This window comes from Homo sapiens, chromosome 16 (assembly GCF_000001405.40).
Source record: "Homo sapiens chromosome 16, GRCh38.p14 Primary Assembly".
NCBI classification, from domain to species: Eukaryota; Metazoa; Chordata; class Mammalia; order Primates; family Hominidae; genus Homo; species Homo sapiens.
The window spans coordinates 82,690,507-82,709,222 of NC_000016.10; the positions used below are offsets into that span (position 1 = coordinate 82,690,507).

Sequence of the window (18,716 nt, forward strand, 5' to 3'; positions counted from 1 at the left end):
ATTAGCCTAAGCTATTCTGGATAGAAAATACACAGGGCCCTAGCACAGCCTCGTGGGCAGAAGAGTTCATCTCGTGAGAATGAGCAAAGAGACACTTAAGAAAAAAATCTGATGCCCAAAGCCTTTCATATAGGTGACCATTGTACCCACAGTAATGAAGCAGAACTACTGTGCTCTGGAAGCCACTATGCCCACCGTTGTTCATGAATAAAAGAAACATGGTAGATATCCTTATGCATGTGTGCACATGCAGCACACCTGGCCTGGCACAACCTGCTCACACCTCTGGGAGTCACCTGGGTGTTGGCTGACGCAGCCTGGCCTCGGCTGAGCTGACTGTCAACCCCGCAACTGCCTGTCCCATCATGGACCAGAAGCAGAGCCAGGGATGAGGATGAACGCTCTAGTTGCCTGTGGCAGATAAAGAATCAGTCATCTAGCTGGGAAGGTAAAGGTTGAGAGGAAAGCCAGCCAATGTCTATAAAGACACATAGGAAATGGGAGAATAGAGCCAGTGAGGGACATGCAGAGAAACACCTAGATTTTGGATTCATTTACACATTCAGCAAATATTTATTGGGCATCTATGGTGTACCAGGCGCTGCACTGGACTCAGAGATATAACAATCAGCCAAATGAACAAGTCTGGACCTTCAGGGACCCTCGTGGAGGTGTTACCTACAAGTGAGGAAAGGAAGACCAAAGTGTTTGTTAGTTAGTTACTATGCATCAGGTACTGTGCACCTCAGAGGCCACCTGCAGTCAGTCTCCCTATATGCCAATGGCTGCCAGCATCTTCCTGCTTTGGGGAATTCTCAGCAGCCAGTAGCAGCTTGCATAGCCTGAGCATGTGGCAGGTGGGACTTGATGCAAAATCCATACCCAGGAAAAATCTTCAAGCTATAGGGGTGAAAGTTGGTGAATGGGTGTCCCAGCCTCCCTGCCCTTTGGTGGGACAATTCTGAGGCCTGTGCCATTAACTTCGGCAGTACCTTACTCATTAATGCACCCTTTACTGACATTTTCTCCTTCTCTGTCTCACTTACTACTTGGGGAGATTGTCTTCCAAATAAACTACCTGTATCCAGGTCCTTCTTATAGATCCACTCTGGGGAAAGGCAAGCAAAGAAAATACATTATAAGCCTGTTGTACTATTAGGGATGGTGACTTCCAGAAGCTGACTGTGATAACCTTTCCTCGGGCTTCAGAAGAGGCTAATGGAGAGTTGAAGGGAGAAATCAGGAAAGATGGTCTCCCCTCAATATTCTGACATGGGTTAATAAGGAGGCACTGGTTCTTAAATTGGGATCTCGATGATGCTGGACTAGCAGCAGCAATATCACCTGAGAACTTGCTGGAAATGCAAACCCTCAGGCTTTACCGAGACCTCATGAATCAGAAAAGCTGCCAGCAACCTGTATTTTCACAAGGCATTCAGGAGATTCTGATATATGCTGACAGTTAGGAAACACTCATGTAAAGCATGTCTATCTTCCCTTCAATTATGTTTTTCATAATCTGCAAATAGTTCTGTCACTTTTAGGGGATATGGCTGGACAATGAATTATCTGTGGCTTCATTAGAAAAGTACATGAATTATATTGTGGACAGCAAAGTTATACTGAAGTGCTGAAGGGAAGTCAAATGCTTAGGAGTGTAAGCTGCAGGAAGAAATAGGCAGAGAAGCTGGGATAGTTTACCCAGCATGGTAACTTCTATGTTATTAGGCTCAAATGTTCACACTCTGCCTTTGAAATAAGTCATTAGAAACTATATTAGTCTGTTCTCACCCTGCTTAGTAAAGACATACCCGAGGCTGGGAAATTTATAAAGGAAAGAGGATTAATTGACTCACAGTTCTGTATGGTAGCGGAGGCTTCACAATCATGGTGGAAGGCGAAAGAGGAGCAAAGTCATGTTTTGCATGGCTGCAGGCAAGAGAGCATGTGTAGGGAAACTCTCCTTTATAAAACCATCAGATCTCATGAGATGTATTCACTACCATGAGAATGACATGGGAAAGAGCCACCCCCATGATTAATTTACCTCTCTCTTGTTCCTTCCATGACATGTGAGAATTATGGGAGCTACAATTCAAGATGAGATTTGAATGGGAGCCCAGCCAGACCACATCAGAAACCTTCTGAGAGGATGCCTTGAATAGGTGATATGGCAGTGTGGTCCTTAGCAATCAGAGGAGAGAGAACGTGGGTTCTCTGTGAATGAAATTTATATTCCTAGTTTCCGTGGAGCTGTGTGCATGAAAAACCTAGGTTCTCAGTAGCTGGGAGGAGACCTGCACAGGCATTTTTAGTATATGTGGTAGGCAGCTTCTAAGTGACCCCGGTGATCCTCACTTCCTGGTCTTCACGGCCTCAGGTAATCCTCTTCCCTTGAGGAACTGGCTTCTAGCCAATAGAGTACCTCAACATTGAGGGAGGTGTCTTCTGTGATCGTTTTACAAAAGATTTTGCCTTCCACCTTGTTAGATTCTCTCTCTTGCTGGCTTTGATAAAGCAAGTTGTCATTGTTGAGGAGGGCCATGTAGCAAGGAGCTGGGGGTGGCCTCCTACCAAGACCTCACCAGAAACTAGGAGTCTCAGTATAATAGCCTCAAAGGAAATGAATCTGCCAGTTATCATGCCATGGACTTTGAGATGAGACCCCAGACCTGGATGATCCTTTGAAGCCTTTTGAAGCACCTTGAAGCAGAGAAGATAGCTAAGGCATGCCCTGTTTCCTGACCCAGTTAACCCATGGTTGAATAAGTACCTCTTTATTTTAAGCTTCTTAGTTTGTGGCAAGATAACTAACACATACATGAAAGTCTAGGCTTGGGTATCATCAAAGGACCTGCTAGCAGAATTCTTGTACATGAAAACACAGTTGTGCAGGACATATCTGTGCACCTCTTTGCTGAAAGCAACATCCTCAGGAAGACCACTTCCCAGCTTGCGACCTAAACATTTAGGTCTAAACACTTGAGCTCTAAACATTTAGTTACTCGCTCTCCCCTGTATTAATGTATGCTGCATAAAGGACCCCCATTTTCCTACATTAAACCCTGTATAAGAACCTCCAAGTAGACACTTATGCAAACATGCCAAGATGCAGGACCACATCCAAATGATAAGTTGCTGTCAGTGAATCATTAATGAGCACTGCTGTGCACCCTGCCACATGTTAAAAGGTAAAATTACATTCTGATGTTTATTTGAGCTATTGCCTATTGCCACTTGAGGCATATTTCATGGAATGATAGGAGTAGAGCAAGGTATTTATTTTGCATTATTGACCCAAGGTGCCATCAGAGTCATGAGGTCCCCATTAAAATTCCAGTGAACTCTTAGATTCTGCCATTCCTAGAAAATCTTATAACATTCTTGGTTCAAACTTCTCATCTGTGATTTAATGGGATACACTAAGGTACAGTGAAGGCCTGGATTAAAATGATGTCATTTATTTGCTGCGTACATGGTCCTGGGCAAGTAATTGAAACAAACTCTGAACTTCAATGTCCACATCTGGATTAAAATAAAAATAAAACATATACTTAAACACTATGATCATAAAAAATTCAGTGCCTGGCACTTAGTAGGTACTCAATAATTCTGTCTCCCCAGTTAATTTATTCACTTGCATATAGAGCTATTTATGCAGAAAAGTTTATGTGACAACTACCAGATATGGATACTTTTATAGAAGAGTATCCATAGGAAATGGCTCAGCCTTCTGTCCTGCAATAAAAAGTAATGTTTGACTCCAAGTACATGAGATTGAACAGAGTTATTTGAGCTACTTTTGATAAAATGTGACAGGCAGACTTTGGTATTTCACCACCCCAACATTTTTTTATGGACTGCTCACTATCACTGCAACATTCAGCACTTTTTTCTGTGTCAATGTGATAGACAATATTCATATTCTTCTTGGGTAATTGCCTTTTTAGCTGAATCAATGGCTTGCAGGCATGAGAAGGAGGCTGTTTTATCTCAACTTTATTTATCTTATGATTATACTAAGACTATAAAACTGAATCTCCCCTCCTTCCCTTCCTCCCAGGCCCATTCCCAATCATCTTCTAAAACCTCTGTTAATACTCAGCTTTTTTGGTGAATTTTCCCACTGCCATGCTTCATGTTACCAAAATATTTCCCTTTTCTGACAACATTCCAAATATAAATAAGGACCTACTGAATGAATGAACCACCAGTATGATTCACCCAATCACTCATTCAAAAAATATTCTTTGAGGATTTACTGTGGGCAGACCCTGGAGATATAAGAGGGAGGGAGGAGGATGACTATGCCTACTTGTAAAGTGGACAGCTGTGGTCTCTTCTAGAAAGGAGGAGTGCCTATAAAGGAGGCGCCTTGGGTATTCTTACTGAGCATAACAGATGGAACTGAGGAGTCAAGGAGGGAAGCCTTCTCTGATTATATGACCATGGAGCTAAGATTTGAAGGAAAACACATAATGGTGCATGTGTGTGGGGAGGGTGGAGACAGGAGGCAGTGGAGGAGCTAAGTATCCCAAGGTGGAGGAGGCAGCGTGGGCAAAGTCCTGTCGGCTGGAGGAAGGGCATGTTCTTGGTACCAGAAGCAGCTCAGTGGAAAGGATCCTGAAGCGGAGGCTGGTGGGCCGAGTCCAGACCCTGGGGGCCTTGTCAACCTAGCTGCTTTGTGCCTGGGGCAATGAGGAGGCTGTGAAGCATCAACAGGGAGATACAGTATTTAGAGTATCTCAAAGTCTCCCTCTGTGTGGTGTTTGGATCTTTCTGAATCCTCAGATGTAATATAAATTATTTGAAAGCAAATACCAATTTGCTTCTAATTCTGGATCTCTTACTCAGGACTTGGTTGCCCAGAGGAGGTTTAATAAATTCTTTTTAACTCTACTTCCCACCAATTTTTCTCCCTTCGATCTGTTCCTATATCTCTACCATTCATGGCAGGGTTAGCACGTGGCTCCAATGGTGAGCAGGAAGGACTTCACCTCTTGTCTGTCCCTTAGCTTTGGTGTGTGCTGCTCCTAACGTAGCTTTGGAGTTGGAGTTAAGAACCATCTCATGGCATTGTTGGGTTAGGTATTCTCTGGGTCCACTCAAGCTTCCTATCAGTTTTTTAGGGACAGAAAGCTACTGTGCTGACCTCAGTCAAAGCCCCTATCTGAATTCTTGAAAGAGACATGATTGTTAGGTCACTAATTGATTCTCCATAGTGTTAGAACAGCAGGAGATTTGAACACAAGGGCATGGTGCTATACCATGCAGCCTGGTAGAGTTGAGCTGAATAACTTTTAGGTTTGTAAGACAGCACATTTAATTTTTAACAGATTATGTACAAGATATTGAGTGACATTAAACACAGAGTTAAATCAACCATAACCCATTTAAAGCAGCCTTGCAGATAAATGTCTCAAATCTACTAGCCTGCCAAATGTATTCCTTATCTACACACATTTATCAATTTTTCCACAACACTAAGCCTTTCTAATGTTTCTCTGACAGTTACTTTCTCTCCCAAGCCTGAAATTCGGGTGACATCTACTTTCTGTAAACTAGATGTGCTTGACCAGGGAAAGCCCCTAGATTTGTGTTAATCTTTTGGGGCCACTGACCCTTCTGGGACTCTGATGAAATCTTTAGTTTGCTGTCTAAGTAAAAAAAGAGGTGATATAAACATACACAGATTTCTTTTTGCATAATTCTATTGTGTTGCTTTTGAAATTGATTTTATTCACGTTATATATTATTCAAATACATCTTTACTAAAAAGTGTCACTCACTCTATATATTTTATATATAAATGAAAGATTACTTTCTAACAAAAATTAGAAAAAACACAGTCAATGTAAGTTAATCAGAAAGTAAACCTTAATTGTATTCAAAAGTAAAACTCAATGGGAACACCGTTGTTTTGTAAGAGTAAGAAATTTTGGTAGTCACAAGGTCTTTGACATGGCAACATGAATGACAGCTTTGCAGTTAAGTTCTGCACCTTTGGTTTTGATGGCAGCAAATATGTAAAAAAAAGTCATTGATTCAGGTGATAGAAACAAAATCAGAATGCCCATAGCTCATGTTGCAACGAAGGCTGTAACAGGAAAGCAGGCCCTACATGACTCTTATCATTTCATTTATGTCCCATGATTTCTTCAACTCAGTTAGGTCAACTGTGGTGGTTTCAGTGGGATGCTATCTATGTATGTTAATTATCTATTGTTGCATTAGAAATTTTCCCCAAATTTAGTGGCTTACAAGCAAGTATTATTACAGAAACATTGCAATGAGGTACTTGTAGTTCAGAGTCTTTCACGATACTGTTGTCAAGATGTTGGTTGAAATAGGAGTCATCTGCAGGCTTGACTGGGGCTGGAAGATCTGCTTTCAAAGTGGCACCCTCACATGGCTGGTGGTAATAGGCCTCAGTTCCTTACCACAATAGGCTCTGCATAGGACTCTTAAGGTATTTACACAAAATGGCAAGTGGCTTTCTCCTGTGTGAAATATCCCAGAGAGAAAACCAAGGAAGGAACCAGAACACCAGTTATGTCCCAATTTTGGATGTCATATATTGTTACTTTTACCATGCTATATCTATTAGAAATGCATACTGAGTCCAGGTCCACACTCAGAGGGAAGGGAATTAAACTCTATGTCCTGAAGGGAGAAAGATCAAATAATTTGTGGATATATTTCAAAACCACCACACTATGTCATCAAAGAAGGCGTTGTATATTCATGATTCAGTTTTAAGGTGGTTTGGGTAAAGTTAATAGCACAGTTGATCCATATTCCCAGGTACTGGTGATTTCCATCTGAAGAGAACAAGATGAGGCTTTGTCACTCTCACCCCAGACTATCCTCCAACATCCTTTAATCACCTTTAAGGGGGCCAAGGCATTTCTTTTTTCTTTTTTTTTTTTTTTTTTTTTTTTGAGACAGAGTCTCACTCTGTCACTGGGGCTGGAGTGCAGTGGCGTGATCTCGACTCACTGCAACCTCTGCCTCCGGGTTCAAGCAATTCTTCTGCCTCAGCCTCCTGAGTAGCTGGGATTACAGGTGCCCGCCACTATGCCCAGCTAATTTTTTGTGTTTTTAGTAGAGACGGGATTTCACCATGTAGACCAGGCTGGTCTCAAACTCCTGACCTCATGATCCACCTGCCTCGGCCTCCTAAAGTGCTGGGATTACAGGCGTGAGCCACCGCACCTGGCTGGGCCGAGGCATTGTGTGTGTGTGTGTGTGTGTGTGTGTGTGTGTGTGTGTGTGTGTGTGTAAGTTTTTTCATGAATTCAAAACATAGCCAAATGGTTTTGAATATATAGAATTTATATTTGCACTGCTGATAATAGCTTGTAATAAAGCTGTGGAACTATACTGTTTATTGTTGCCCCAACATGACAGTGCTGGTGAGGAGGAAACAAAGACTGGAGGATGTAATCTACCCCATAGATGAGCTCCTTGAGGATATGGCTGCATGTTAATGTTCCAGCGCAGTGATTGGCACATAGGGGCTATAAAGAAGTATCTGTTGAATGGATGAATGAATGAATGAATGAATGAGTGGAGACTCATGGAATTTAACTTGGACAGGCAGGTTCTAACTGTTGCTGTAGGCCTAGGAATACCATGTTCAAAGTATGGAAGATTGGAGCATTGGTAAGAATGAGCTCTTGAATTCTAAGGCAGTGCTATCTCTAGTCTCTTTAGTGTTTTCTGCCAGGTTGGAAGAGTCTTTGCATGTCAAGCATATGTTTGCCTTCAAAAACAAAGGTGAAAGCTGGTTGGGATTGCTTGCTTTTAGTGAAGACCAAGGCAAAGAACTCTATCTCCTGGGTACTCTCTGTAGATGGTGGGAAAAAGGAAGAGAATGTATCAGGTAGCTTTTGCTCTGTGACAGACAACTACAAAACCTTGGTAGTATATTAACAAGCAGTGCTCACTGCCCATGCATATGGGCTCAGCCATCAGTTAGGTGGCTCTGCTGATCTTAGCTGAGCTTGTTCACGTATTTGAGGTGGGCTTTGCTCCGTGACTTTCCCATATTGTAGCAGTGTAGCTTGGGCATGTTTTTAGAGCATTGGAGGAGGCATGAGAGACAAGCTCAATTCTACAGGTGATTTTCAAGCCTGTTCAGCAAGCAATCTACTGGCCAAACATCCCATGGCTGAGCCCATTGTCAAAGAGGGAGGGCACTGAATAGCTCCATGGCACAGGGGGGCGTGAAGAATCGGAACATTTTTTACAATCTATTACAGGAAGCCAAAGAAATAGCTAGTTTTTCTCTGTTTAAGAAGGGTTCACACACATTGCCTTTAAAAGGACAGATAGTAAATATTTTAGACTTTGGGGCCACGTACAGGCCCTGTTCTATATTCTTTTTTTACTTCTTTTCCTTTTCTTATTATCCTTTTTCTTTTAATAATCCTTTAAAAATGTAAAAAAACAGAGATATTCTTAGCTTCCAGGCTGTATAAAAATAGACTGCATGCCACATTTGGCCCGTGAGCCGTAGTTTGTTCATCCCTAGTTTAAGAAGAAAAAACATCTTCATACTAATAATAATATACAATATTCTGTTGGCAAAAGACATTTTGATACTTGTCATTTAATTGATCTTCATAGAAGCCTGATTGTTGAAGGTGGATATTTCTAATAGCTCCCCTTTCATATGGGGAGAGATGGGAACTTATGTGATGAAACTGGGATTCAGGCTGTAGTAGGGCCAGGGAGGGTCACTGATGATTACCTGAGGTTGCCCTGCCAAGGACAGCTGCTTGTGTCCTCTGCCTCTGAGAACTAAGCTTCCAGGAGGACCACCGGTAGTAGGGAGTGCATTCAGCTCCATCCTCCTGAGAACATACACTCTGCAAGTGGAGAGAAGCCATCTCATTATGTTAATTTCAACCCAGCCCAGACTGAGAGGAGGCTGATTTCAAGGGCAAAGAAGGTGAGGCAGCCGATTCCCAGGTCCCATTTCCCTTGCTCCACTTCATTAACATGGCCACCCTTAATGCGTGTCATAACTCTGCCTTCCAGCAAGATTTCCTCTCCACTAAGAACCTTTTAGAAATGGTATTTAAGAGAATGTGCATAAAACAAGTCTTCATGGTGATTATGACATTTCTGCTGAACCAAAATGTAATCAGTACACACATTTTGCATCCTTACACTTAATCCACAAACATAGCTTTTACTGTTTTACCTTCTCCCACCCACAATCCAAACAGTGCCACAGAACAAACGTAACAGGATATTAAGATAATCTCTTTTGTCTATGCCAAATGTCATTTAGCTGTTGAGAGAGGAATGTCCCATCTAGTTTTTACAAACAATAAATAATACAGCTTATGAAGGTCCACATGGGTGACACTGATGCAATGTTTCAACAGTTTTCCGAAAAAGGAAAATAAAATGAGTCATCCAATTAGTTGGCTGGGCATTTGCCTGCAAGTTGCCAGAGAGCTTTGTTGATTTATCCCAACTTGGCTAAGATTGGCTTACTCTAGAAGTTCGCCTGTTACAGAAGTTTGGTCTTTACTAGGGTGACACAAAGTATATTTTATGGATATTAGTTCATCAGGATGCTGAGAAGGGTTATAGCATCAAAGACAAATATGGCTGAACATATTGGGGATCATTTAGGTTAAAGAAATTTAAATGAATTTTTCCTGCGGGACTTCTCAGAGGCTTTAATCTGTGAATGTGCATACTGAATTTCCAAGAAGGGTTTAGAATGTGCAGCAGTTTCCAAATCTACTTGACCTGGGAACCCTTTTGTTCACAGGGCATCCCATGAGAGAACACTTTAAAGAACAGACGATGAGAATCAGTACCATGCGTAAAACGTGACCAACGTTCTATGCAGAGGAGATTTTTGAAAGTATCCCCACCAGTGAAGAGTTACCGTGTATGTGTATAATGTACATAAGTGGACATTAGCTTGTATTTTCAAATAATAAAGTCAAACTTTATTATTAAGGAAGATACAAGAATTAGGGCTAGTAAGTGTGTGTGTGTGTGTGTGTGTGTGTCTGTGTGTCTTTCTATGTGTAAATGTCCATCCCCAGGGATTAAGAAGTCTGGATTTGGGTTAAACTTAATCATTTCTAAGAATCTCAGGTTTTCAGTCCTGTCCTAGAATTTCAAAAACAGTCAGAGAAAGCAACTGTGAGAAGATCACAGCTTCTCATCCTGTTTTGAGTCTCACCCTCCTCTTTGCCCTCACAAAGGATTTCAGTGATTATGTTCCTGACAGGATGCATTTTAATTGTTTTCTGGTATGACTTCCCAATACATCAAGTTGTGTTTTCTATATAGCCGCTATCCCAAATGATTACTATTCAGAACACTAATCTGATCTCTAAATCTACAAAGAAAAGGCCATGTAATTTGCTTCTCTTTACAGTGCATTACGTGCACCATTGTAAGTGCTGGAACCCGCCCCCCCCCCCCCCCCCCCGCCCCGGGCATCTCCAAACTGCTGTCCTGTGGATAGCCCCAGTTGCATGTGCTCAAAAGCAAACTTCTTATCTCCTCCATGAGTCAGTTCCTCTTCCTGTTTTTTTCTCTCATTGCAGCTAATGACATTACCATCCCCTCAATGTCCAAAGTTAGAAACTTCTGAGTAATTTTTTATTTCTTTCTCTTCCTCACCTTCTACTAATATTAGCTGTTAAATCCTGTTGATGCTACCTCTGAAATATTTCTCAAATCCACATCTCCTTTCAACCTTGGGCATGGCCCTAGTTCAAGGTCCTATTTTTCTTAGATGGACCACGGGGTCCTTTTGCCATGATCTCTTTTTCCATCCAACTTATAATTTTTCTACAACTTTGACTTCCATCCTGATTACTAAGACTTTTAACATTTCTGTGTGCTCCTTCTTCTCTGGGTGTTTGACATGCATTGTCATTCTGTCTTCTGATTGCAAGTGATAGAAACCTACTCCAGACTAGCTTTCAGGGAAAAGAAAGGAGGTGTTTAGTAGATTGCACAACTGGCAAACCTGGAGTTGATTTAGCTTTCATGAAGGCTAGACCTTAGACTTGTCATCAGGAATATGTCCTATTTGCTTTTTCTGTCAGCAGTCCTTCCTTTTTTTTTGGCTGTGCTCTGTGATCACATGTCTCATTGTGGTGATAACGTGGCTTCCAGCAGCAATCCCAGACTCACAGCCCATCCTCAGCATTTCCAGTGGAGAGAAGTGTTCTCTCTTCCTAACACTTTCCATACAAATCTTAGAAATAAATTTTATTGGCTCTTAACATGTCACGTGCCCATCCTTCAACCATTTGCTATGAACAAGGGGACAGGATGCTCTGATTAGCCAGGACTTAGTCACCTCCCCTCTTCTGAAGACACAGAAGTTGGGACTTCATCTCTACCCAGCCACGTGGACTTAGAATACAGGATGGGTGGGTGCAGTTTCCCCGAGGAAATTGGAGGGCTGTTCTTGGAGCAAGGACATGAATAAGCGGCTTACAAAGAGCAAATAATCGTTGCTTATGGCACTCAAGGTGTTCTGTCACCCCATCCAACTCACCTTTCCCACTTGGCCTTCTGTCCTTGAATGCGAAGAACCAGAGTCCCCTGCTCTAAATGGCTCCTTTTCTGTGTGTGCTGCGTGTTTGCTCTGCTGCTGAGATCCATGCTTTTCCCTTGCCTGAAACACCCTCTGTGGCTGTTGCAGATGTGTTCACTCTGTAAACGCAGCTCAAATGCCTTCCACCCCAAAAAGCCTCCTTAAACTTGCCCCTGCTCCTCTGTGTGAATAATTTTCACAGCACATGATCTACACTTCCATCATGGTTCTTGAAATACATGAAATACCTAATCATAGGATAGGTTTCATATGATCCCACCTCCCCTGCTAGACACTGACAGTGTGACAGCAGGGCCCCTGTCTTGTTCGTCTCAGTGCTCCCCAGGGCCCACATGCAGTACCTTGTACACAGTGCAGGCACCATAAATACCTGTTGATTGATTCTGGACTTGCCATTCATTAAGAGAAGTTAATGGAGGTTTTCTGATTCCCATCAGATGAACAATTTTGGAATGTTTTATCAGTCAAATTTCTAAGAATCAATAAAACTTCCATTTGGATTATTCTTTCCCCCACTCAAATTGTATTTTAAAAATAGTTTTATTGTAATTGTCCCCCTCAATTCTGACAATGTGTAAGCATTGCAGAAAATTTGTGAATATAAAAGTATGAAGATGATCAAAAGCTTCTTCCTGACTGATGGCCATTGCATGTATGATTTCCTCTGCCTGGAACCCTGTGGCCCCCAGGGTTCAGCTCCCTGGTGCCTCATCAGGCACAGCTTAGTGTGAGCTTCACCTTTGTCTCTAGATCTTCCTGTGCATTTAGATTTTTAAAAAATCTGGTGTATCCCCTCATTGGTTGGCTATGAAGTAAGCTCCCTGTGTGCAGGGACCTTTTTTTAGCTTGGTGAGGGTGTATCCTCTCCACTGCTGGAGCTGTGGTCAGCACACAGCCAGTGAGTGCTCTACAAACACTTACAGCATCAGTTCATGAATGCTTGCAAACATGCAGAGGTTACCATTGCTTATACTTTTTTTTGTTTTGTTCCACTTATATAAACCACTTATATATTCAGATATTTGTGTATATATGCATATATATGTATTTATGCACACATAAACATACTACACACACTGGATGTATACTACACACACACACACACACACACACAATGTTATAAGGTGTATGTAACACACTCAGGGCTGCCCCACAGCCTCTCAGTGCCCTACTTATGTTCCGTCCCCCCACCATTCCTTCTGGCAGCTTCTCACTGTGAACCCTGAGATGTTCTGCCTGAGTGCTTGTTCTAGCTGCTGGAGCATGGCAGGCCAGAAGTTCTGGAGAACTCGTACCCCCAGGATCAGCTCTCAACCAGGGATGAATACAGATGGAGGATAAATTTCCCCACTCCCTTGCCCCTTTGGAGATGTATTTGACACCATTTCTCAGAGTCTCCAGGGAGAATGAGCTCCAGTAGCCCACAGTGGTACCTGGACTGATAATGCTTTACTGGCTTTCTTTTCATATCACTGCCTCCTGGAACCACCTCCTAAATAAGCTACTTACATTCGAGAACTAATTCCAATAATACGCTACTTAAGACAAGGGAGAATGGTAGAAACAGGTTTCTATACTTCACAAAAATGAGCTTTTGCTCTTCAGAAATCACAGCCAATAGATTGTGCCTTCTGGCTGCCCCCTCTGCTAATGCCCCCTCTTTGCCCCCTGAACAAGGGCACCCATGTACAACAATGTGTATATACTTCCTTAGGAAGCTGGTCATTCAGAGCCCCGTCAGTGACACCTGCACTCAGAATGTAATCCTACCCAGCTTCGGGGGCTCCAGGAATTCCTGTGGCATCCGTGTTATAGACTCCTTTGCATTCAGCTTTGCTTTTATCTGTTTCCAATTTGTGTTTTCAAGGCTTCGGTTTTTCTCCTTTCTGCTTCATCTCCAGCCCCTCCTTTGCAACAGTACCAAATAAAAAAACCCATGACACTGCCACAGCTGAAAAAGCCTTTGAAAAAGGCAGGTGGCGTGGCTTGAATGTTTCTAAACTCTAAAACTGCAAGCCACAGACAAATAAAGAAAGAGGTGGGGGTGGGCATGGGGGGTTGTAGTCTTGTGGAAGCAATCCTCAGCCTTCAGCAGGCTCTAGGGGCACACTGCCTCTAGCATGTTTTGAGCACGTTGATTTGGGCATCTGTCTTGCTGAATTTGAGTTTGAATTATGGATGTTACAGAATGAATCATTAAGGCTGTGTCCACCCGGATTGCTCTGGCTCTCTGGCCTGTTCACAGTGCTGTTCAATTTTATGTAAGCATTACTTCAACATTTTTGGTGGATGTTCTTCATTTATTCATTCATTCAGTATGCACTGATGGTGACTCTAAGTCTTGGGACTGCAAAGATGTCTGAGGCCCATTCTTTACTCCTCCACATCTCAAGACCTAAGGGAGATAGACAGGCAAATCAATAACCACAGTGCCTTGCTATTGGTGCTGTCCAAGGTGGGTGCTGTGAAGAAGTGCTTAAGGGCAAGTGCTGCAGAGGCAGGCACACCTGGGGTCCTTTTCCTGGCCTGGGGGGTCCAGGAAGGTTTCCCAGAGGAAGAAGCAGGGCTCAGTCATCAAGAGCTAAGGATATGCCGTCAAATAGCCCTGGCTTATTAGAATCTGCTTTGCACTAAGCCTCCTGAATACTTAATTTCCCCAAGCCTCAGTTTCCTGGTCTGCTAAGTGGCCAGAATAATATTTACATCGTGGATTTGTATGAAATAAATAGGATAATGCATGAACCATGCTTAGCGTGAGCCATAACACGCAAAAGCAACATAATCAGTATTTGTTAATTGTAACAAATCAAGCCCGGGATATTGACAGACACCTAAGGCAGACTTGGGAGACAATGTCTCTTGCTGCTGCCTCATGAGGAAGGTGAATGACCATGCATTGCCACTGGACGGGAAAATAAACGGTTTCTTCTTTTTATTCTTGTAGACACCAGTGAGGCCTACCATATACCTATGTCAAAACCTGCAATTTATCAAAAATAAAGCCCGAGATAGTAACAGTCTTGCTGACCACAAAGGCAAAAGGATCCAGGTAAACAGATTGCTTCCAGGACTATTATTTCATGATGAGCTTTCAGGTATATAGCACATGAGAGGGAGGACAAGGTGCGGCTGCACTTCAAGAGACCACGTTGGACAGGTGAGATGTCCAATATATTCTTACTTAAGATCTGATTTCTTCTCCTTCTCTCCAGCAAGGGATGCCCAGAGATATAACAATTAGAATTCAATACGCTAATACAGTGTCTCATTAGCCAAGCCACACAATCGCCTCTAGTGGTCCATATGCACGACAACCCGGGATCCTAGAAATTAGCTCGGCTTCCTGCATCCGTCCCCATCTGAATCTTTACTCAACTACTTTTTGATTGTGAAGAGCCAAGCTCATTTGAGCAGTAGGAATTTCATGGGGCTGGTGATCCCAAGACTAATTCAAAAATTAATAAGTTTCCCATTCCTTTTCTTATTTATTTTTTTGGTAGGGACACATTTCACCACACACGCCTGCTTCTTTCTTGCCAGTATTTCATTCAAAACTAGTCCTCAAGTTTTGAAATTTTAGAGACTTAAAAAAAATCAATAATGCTTTAAGAAGATTAAGAGGCTGTGCTTATGTCAGCCTTAGACAATTCTGGAGAGAAGATAGACTTGATTGTGCTTCTCATTTTGTTTATGATCCTGCAATGTATCACGCATTCTCTGCCAAGTGAATTCTGACTGCATGAAGAAGGGGTAGATGCTTTTACAACAGGTTTAGTCATCTGGCATATTATTTAATACAATCAGTGGTGTTTTCCTTCGTGAGATGCAGCCTTATATACAGGCTAGGTGTTAAGTTTATACCCAGGTTATCTACCCTTCCCCCTCCTGTCCTCTCTCCCACCCTGTTTTTATTCTGTCTTCCCTCCCTTCTTCCCTTCTTCCTTATTCTCTCTCTTCCTCCCTTTCTTCTTCATCTTCCTGTCTTCCTCACTCCTCCCTTCTCTCCTCCCCATCTTCTTTCCCTTTCTTTCCGCCTCCCTTCTCCCTTTTTCGCTCCCTCTTTCCCTTCACAAACATTTATTCAAACCCTATTATATACCAGGCACGATGCAAGGCACTGGAAATACACTGAACAGGGCAGATGTGGTTCCCGTTACATGATGAGTAACACAGGTGATAAATAAACAGTTAACAAGATAAGAAAAATGGCCAGCGAGTATTTGGAAGAAATAGACAAGTGATAGGGAATGGCTTTGGGGAGAATTATCTGCATATAAGGATAAGGGATGAGACAGACTCAGCAGCCGTTTCATGCCAGGGCAGAGTAGAAGGCCGTGGAGCTGCTAGGTGGTTGGCCTGGAGAAAAAACAAGGAGTTTTTTCTGCAAAGTGCTGGTAGGAGTTTACAGTTCTCTGTAATGTTCAGAAATGCAGAGGTCAGCGGAGGTGGGTGGATCACCTGAGGGTCAGGAGTTGGAGACCAGCCTGGCCAACATGGTGAAACCCCGTCTCTACTAAAACTAAAAAAAAAAAAAACATTAGCCAGGTGTGGTGGTGGGTGCCTGTAATCCCAGCTACTTGGAAGGCTAAGAAAGGAGAATTGGTTGAACCCAGGAGACGGAGGTTGCGGTGAGCTGAGATCATGCCGCTGTACTCCAGCCTGGGTGACAGAGCGAGACTCTGTCTCAAAAAAAAAATAAAATAAAAAAGAAGTATAGAGGTCATTTTTAATGTGAGAATGTTCTCAGTGAATTAGGTATATGTGCCTGCCACATTTTCCAAACCAATGTTTTTACGAATATTCTAGTTTAGCCCTCTCTTCTAGAGTTATAAAATTATTCTGCCTTCAGTTCTACATTTAGGGAGTCCTCTTTTAAGGAAAGGAAAAGGATAGTTAAATCAGGGGCTGTCACAGAAGCCTCAGATTGGAGGACAAGGCGTGGACCATCCCCTGTTTGGCGGGAAAATAGCTTTAGTCACAGGCAGGTTGTTTTGCTTCCTAAAGCGTAAAGTTGGAAATGTGATAATTTCGTCAAGTAGTTGATTTAGTTGTATCAAGCTTAACTAATTAACACCAATTCCATGCTTGATTCTTTTCTCCATTAACTGAACAAAAGCCATTGCTAATGAGGCTATGTATACAAAGCCAGCTGACTCATTTTGTTATGGAGATTTCAAAGAGAAGGGAGTTGTAAACATTTGTAGGGAAGAGATAGGGGTAGACATGATCTTACACATATTTAACAACAGGTGCAATACAGGCACTGGCCAATGAGAATGAGCAGGGGTATAATGGTGCCACCAGCACATACAGAAGGAGTAAGAAGTATCCTCAAGGCACGGAGAGATGATAGGGTGCAGGGCCTTTGCACTGGGCTTATTCACAGGCAAAATATTTTTCCTTATTTTAAAGAAATGGAAAGAAGTCTTCCTAGAAGCCAGGGTCTGTGATACATGACAGAGTGACCATAGCACTCAGGGGTGCAGAGGGTGTGTGGATTCTGATGACAGATTGCCTGTCTGATTTTGCAGAATTAGCTCCAACATGGTTTTGGTAACACCCGTTGCCCTCTTTAAGCTTGATGTCTCTGTTTTCATGTAATTTGCACAAAGTAGGCACTCACTAAATATTTGTAGGTGAAGACGTGTATCTCAGCACAAAGCAGCCTCTTGGACTACCATCTGTGTGGTATTCAAGGTTCTTTTGGTTTCAGAGAAGAGGAACACAGTAAAATTTACCCAAAGAAAGGAGCATATGTGTCGGTTAGGGAAAGACCAAGCTTCCATAACAAAGAGACTCCCAAATCCAATGGCTTGATAAGATGAGCCTTTATGTCATGTTTTGGTCCCTTGGTGAGAGGCACCGACTGGCAGGCTGGCTTTGCCCTGTGTAATCATTCCATCTTTTTCCTTCCAGCTGTTGCTCAGACGTCACCTTGGGCATGGTCCTTGTCTGCATGGTTGAAGGTGGCTCATGTGTATGTCTGCTTTTCAGTGCACGCATGGAGGCAAACATCTGTCTTTTACATTAGAGATGACTCCAATGTTGCTTACATCACACTGTTCGCATCCCATTTGCTCAAATGTGGTCATATGCCACATACAGCTGTGAGTGACGCTGCGAAATCTAGCTGGCTGGCTTTGTGGCATGGCTTGCATTCTTCTGCTGTGGGAGAGAAGGAGGAGAGAATGGGTTTTAGTGGACCCACAGGGAGTTACTATAAAAGTGCAAATAGGGCATAAGGGGATGCAAGAAACACTGAACAACCAGGCATCAGAGTGCAGGAGCCTATGGAGTTCAGATGAGAGCTCTCCTTCGTGCTTCTCTAGCTCTCACTCTCCATCTCTCACACTTTCTCTTTTTCTGTGTGAAGACTCCACTGTCTCTGTCTCTCCACCAGCTTCCTCTGATGTCCTATCTTGGATCTGGCCCCAGATAGTATCCTCTACTTTCTTGACCTTGGGTTTTCCAAAGCCAACTGGTATCTTCTTACTTGTCTCTTGATTCTAATTTATCTAAAGGGAAGATCTGATTCGCCCAGCTCAAGATAGTCAGGGTCTAAAACACCATGACCACTCTAAAAAGAGGGGACTCCGAGTCAGCTGTCTGCGCTTATCCAATCAGATGACGCTGGGCAAATGGAGAAGCTGTCAGTTTTCTGAGACACCCCTCCCCAGACTGACCCAAACACAACTTGCACAGTGTGAATATCAGAGTACTATGTGAGAAAGTACTCTGTGGAGCTGACCAGCATCAGAAATTCTGCTAGGGCTCTCTTATAAATTGATAACTTGTTTCTCAGTCTTTTATACATTTGGCAACCGTGAATCTATTCTTTAGAACCAGAAGAGTCCTGAGTGATGAGTTCATAGATTAGAGATTCTCATACTTCACAGTTGAGAAGTGGGGACAGGCCCAAGGGTAAGAATCAGAGTGAGCTGCCAGTTACATCGCTGGTCAGCTCCTCTTTCACTGCAGTAGATACAATGAACATAACAATGGATATAAGCTCCAATTCTATCCAGTTTTCCACGAATGAAGATGAGTCTTTGAATACGCCCTTAGCAGTTCTCAAAAACCAATCAGCAGAACAAGTCTGGCCAGC

The 18,716-nt window shown here is 42.7% G+C and overlaps 1 protein-coding gene across 8 annotated transcripts in view, besides 1 other annotated feature; it reads left to right on the forward strand.

The window, feature by feature from the left end:
- Positions 1–18,716, forward strand: part of CDH13 (cadherin 13) — a 1,173,672-nt gene that overhangs the window by 63,538 nt on the left and 1,091,418 nt on the right. The gene's annotated exons all lie outside the window — the stretch shown is intronic.
- Positions 8,566–9,765: an enhancer, noted in NCBI's record as "BRD4-independent group 4 enhancer chr16:82732677-82733876 (GRCh37/hg19 assembly coordinates)". NCBI's record gives its function as "activates an origin of replication core promoter dependent on BRD2, P300/CBP, MED14 and CDK7 cofactors, and independent of BRD4, by STARR-seq in HCT116 cells {active_cell/tissue: HCT116}" and the evidence as "EXISTENCE:reporter gene assay evidence [ECO:0000049][PMID:35650434]".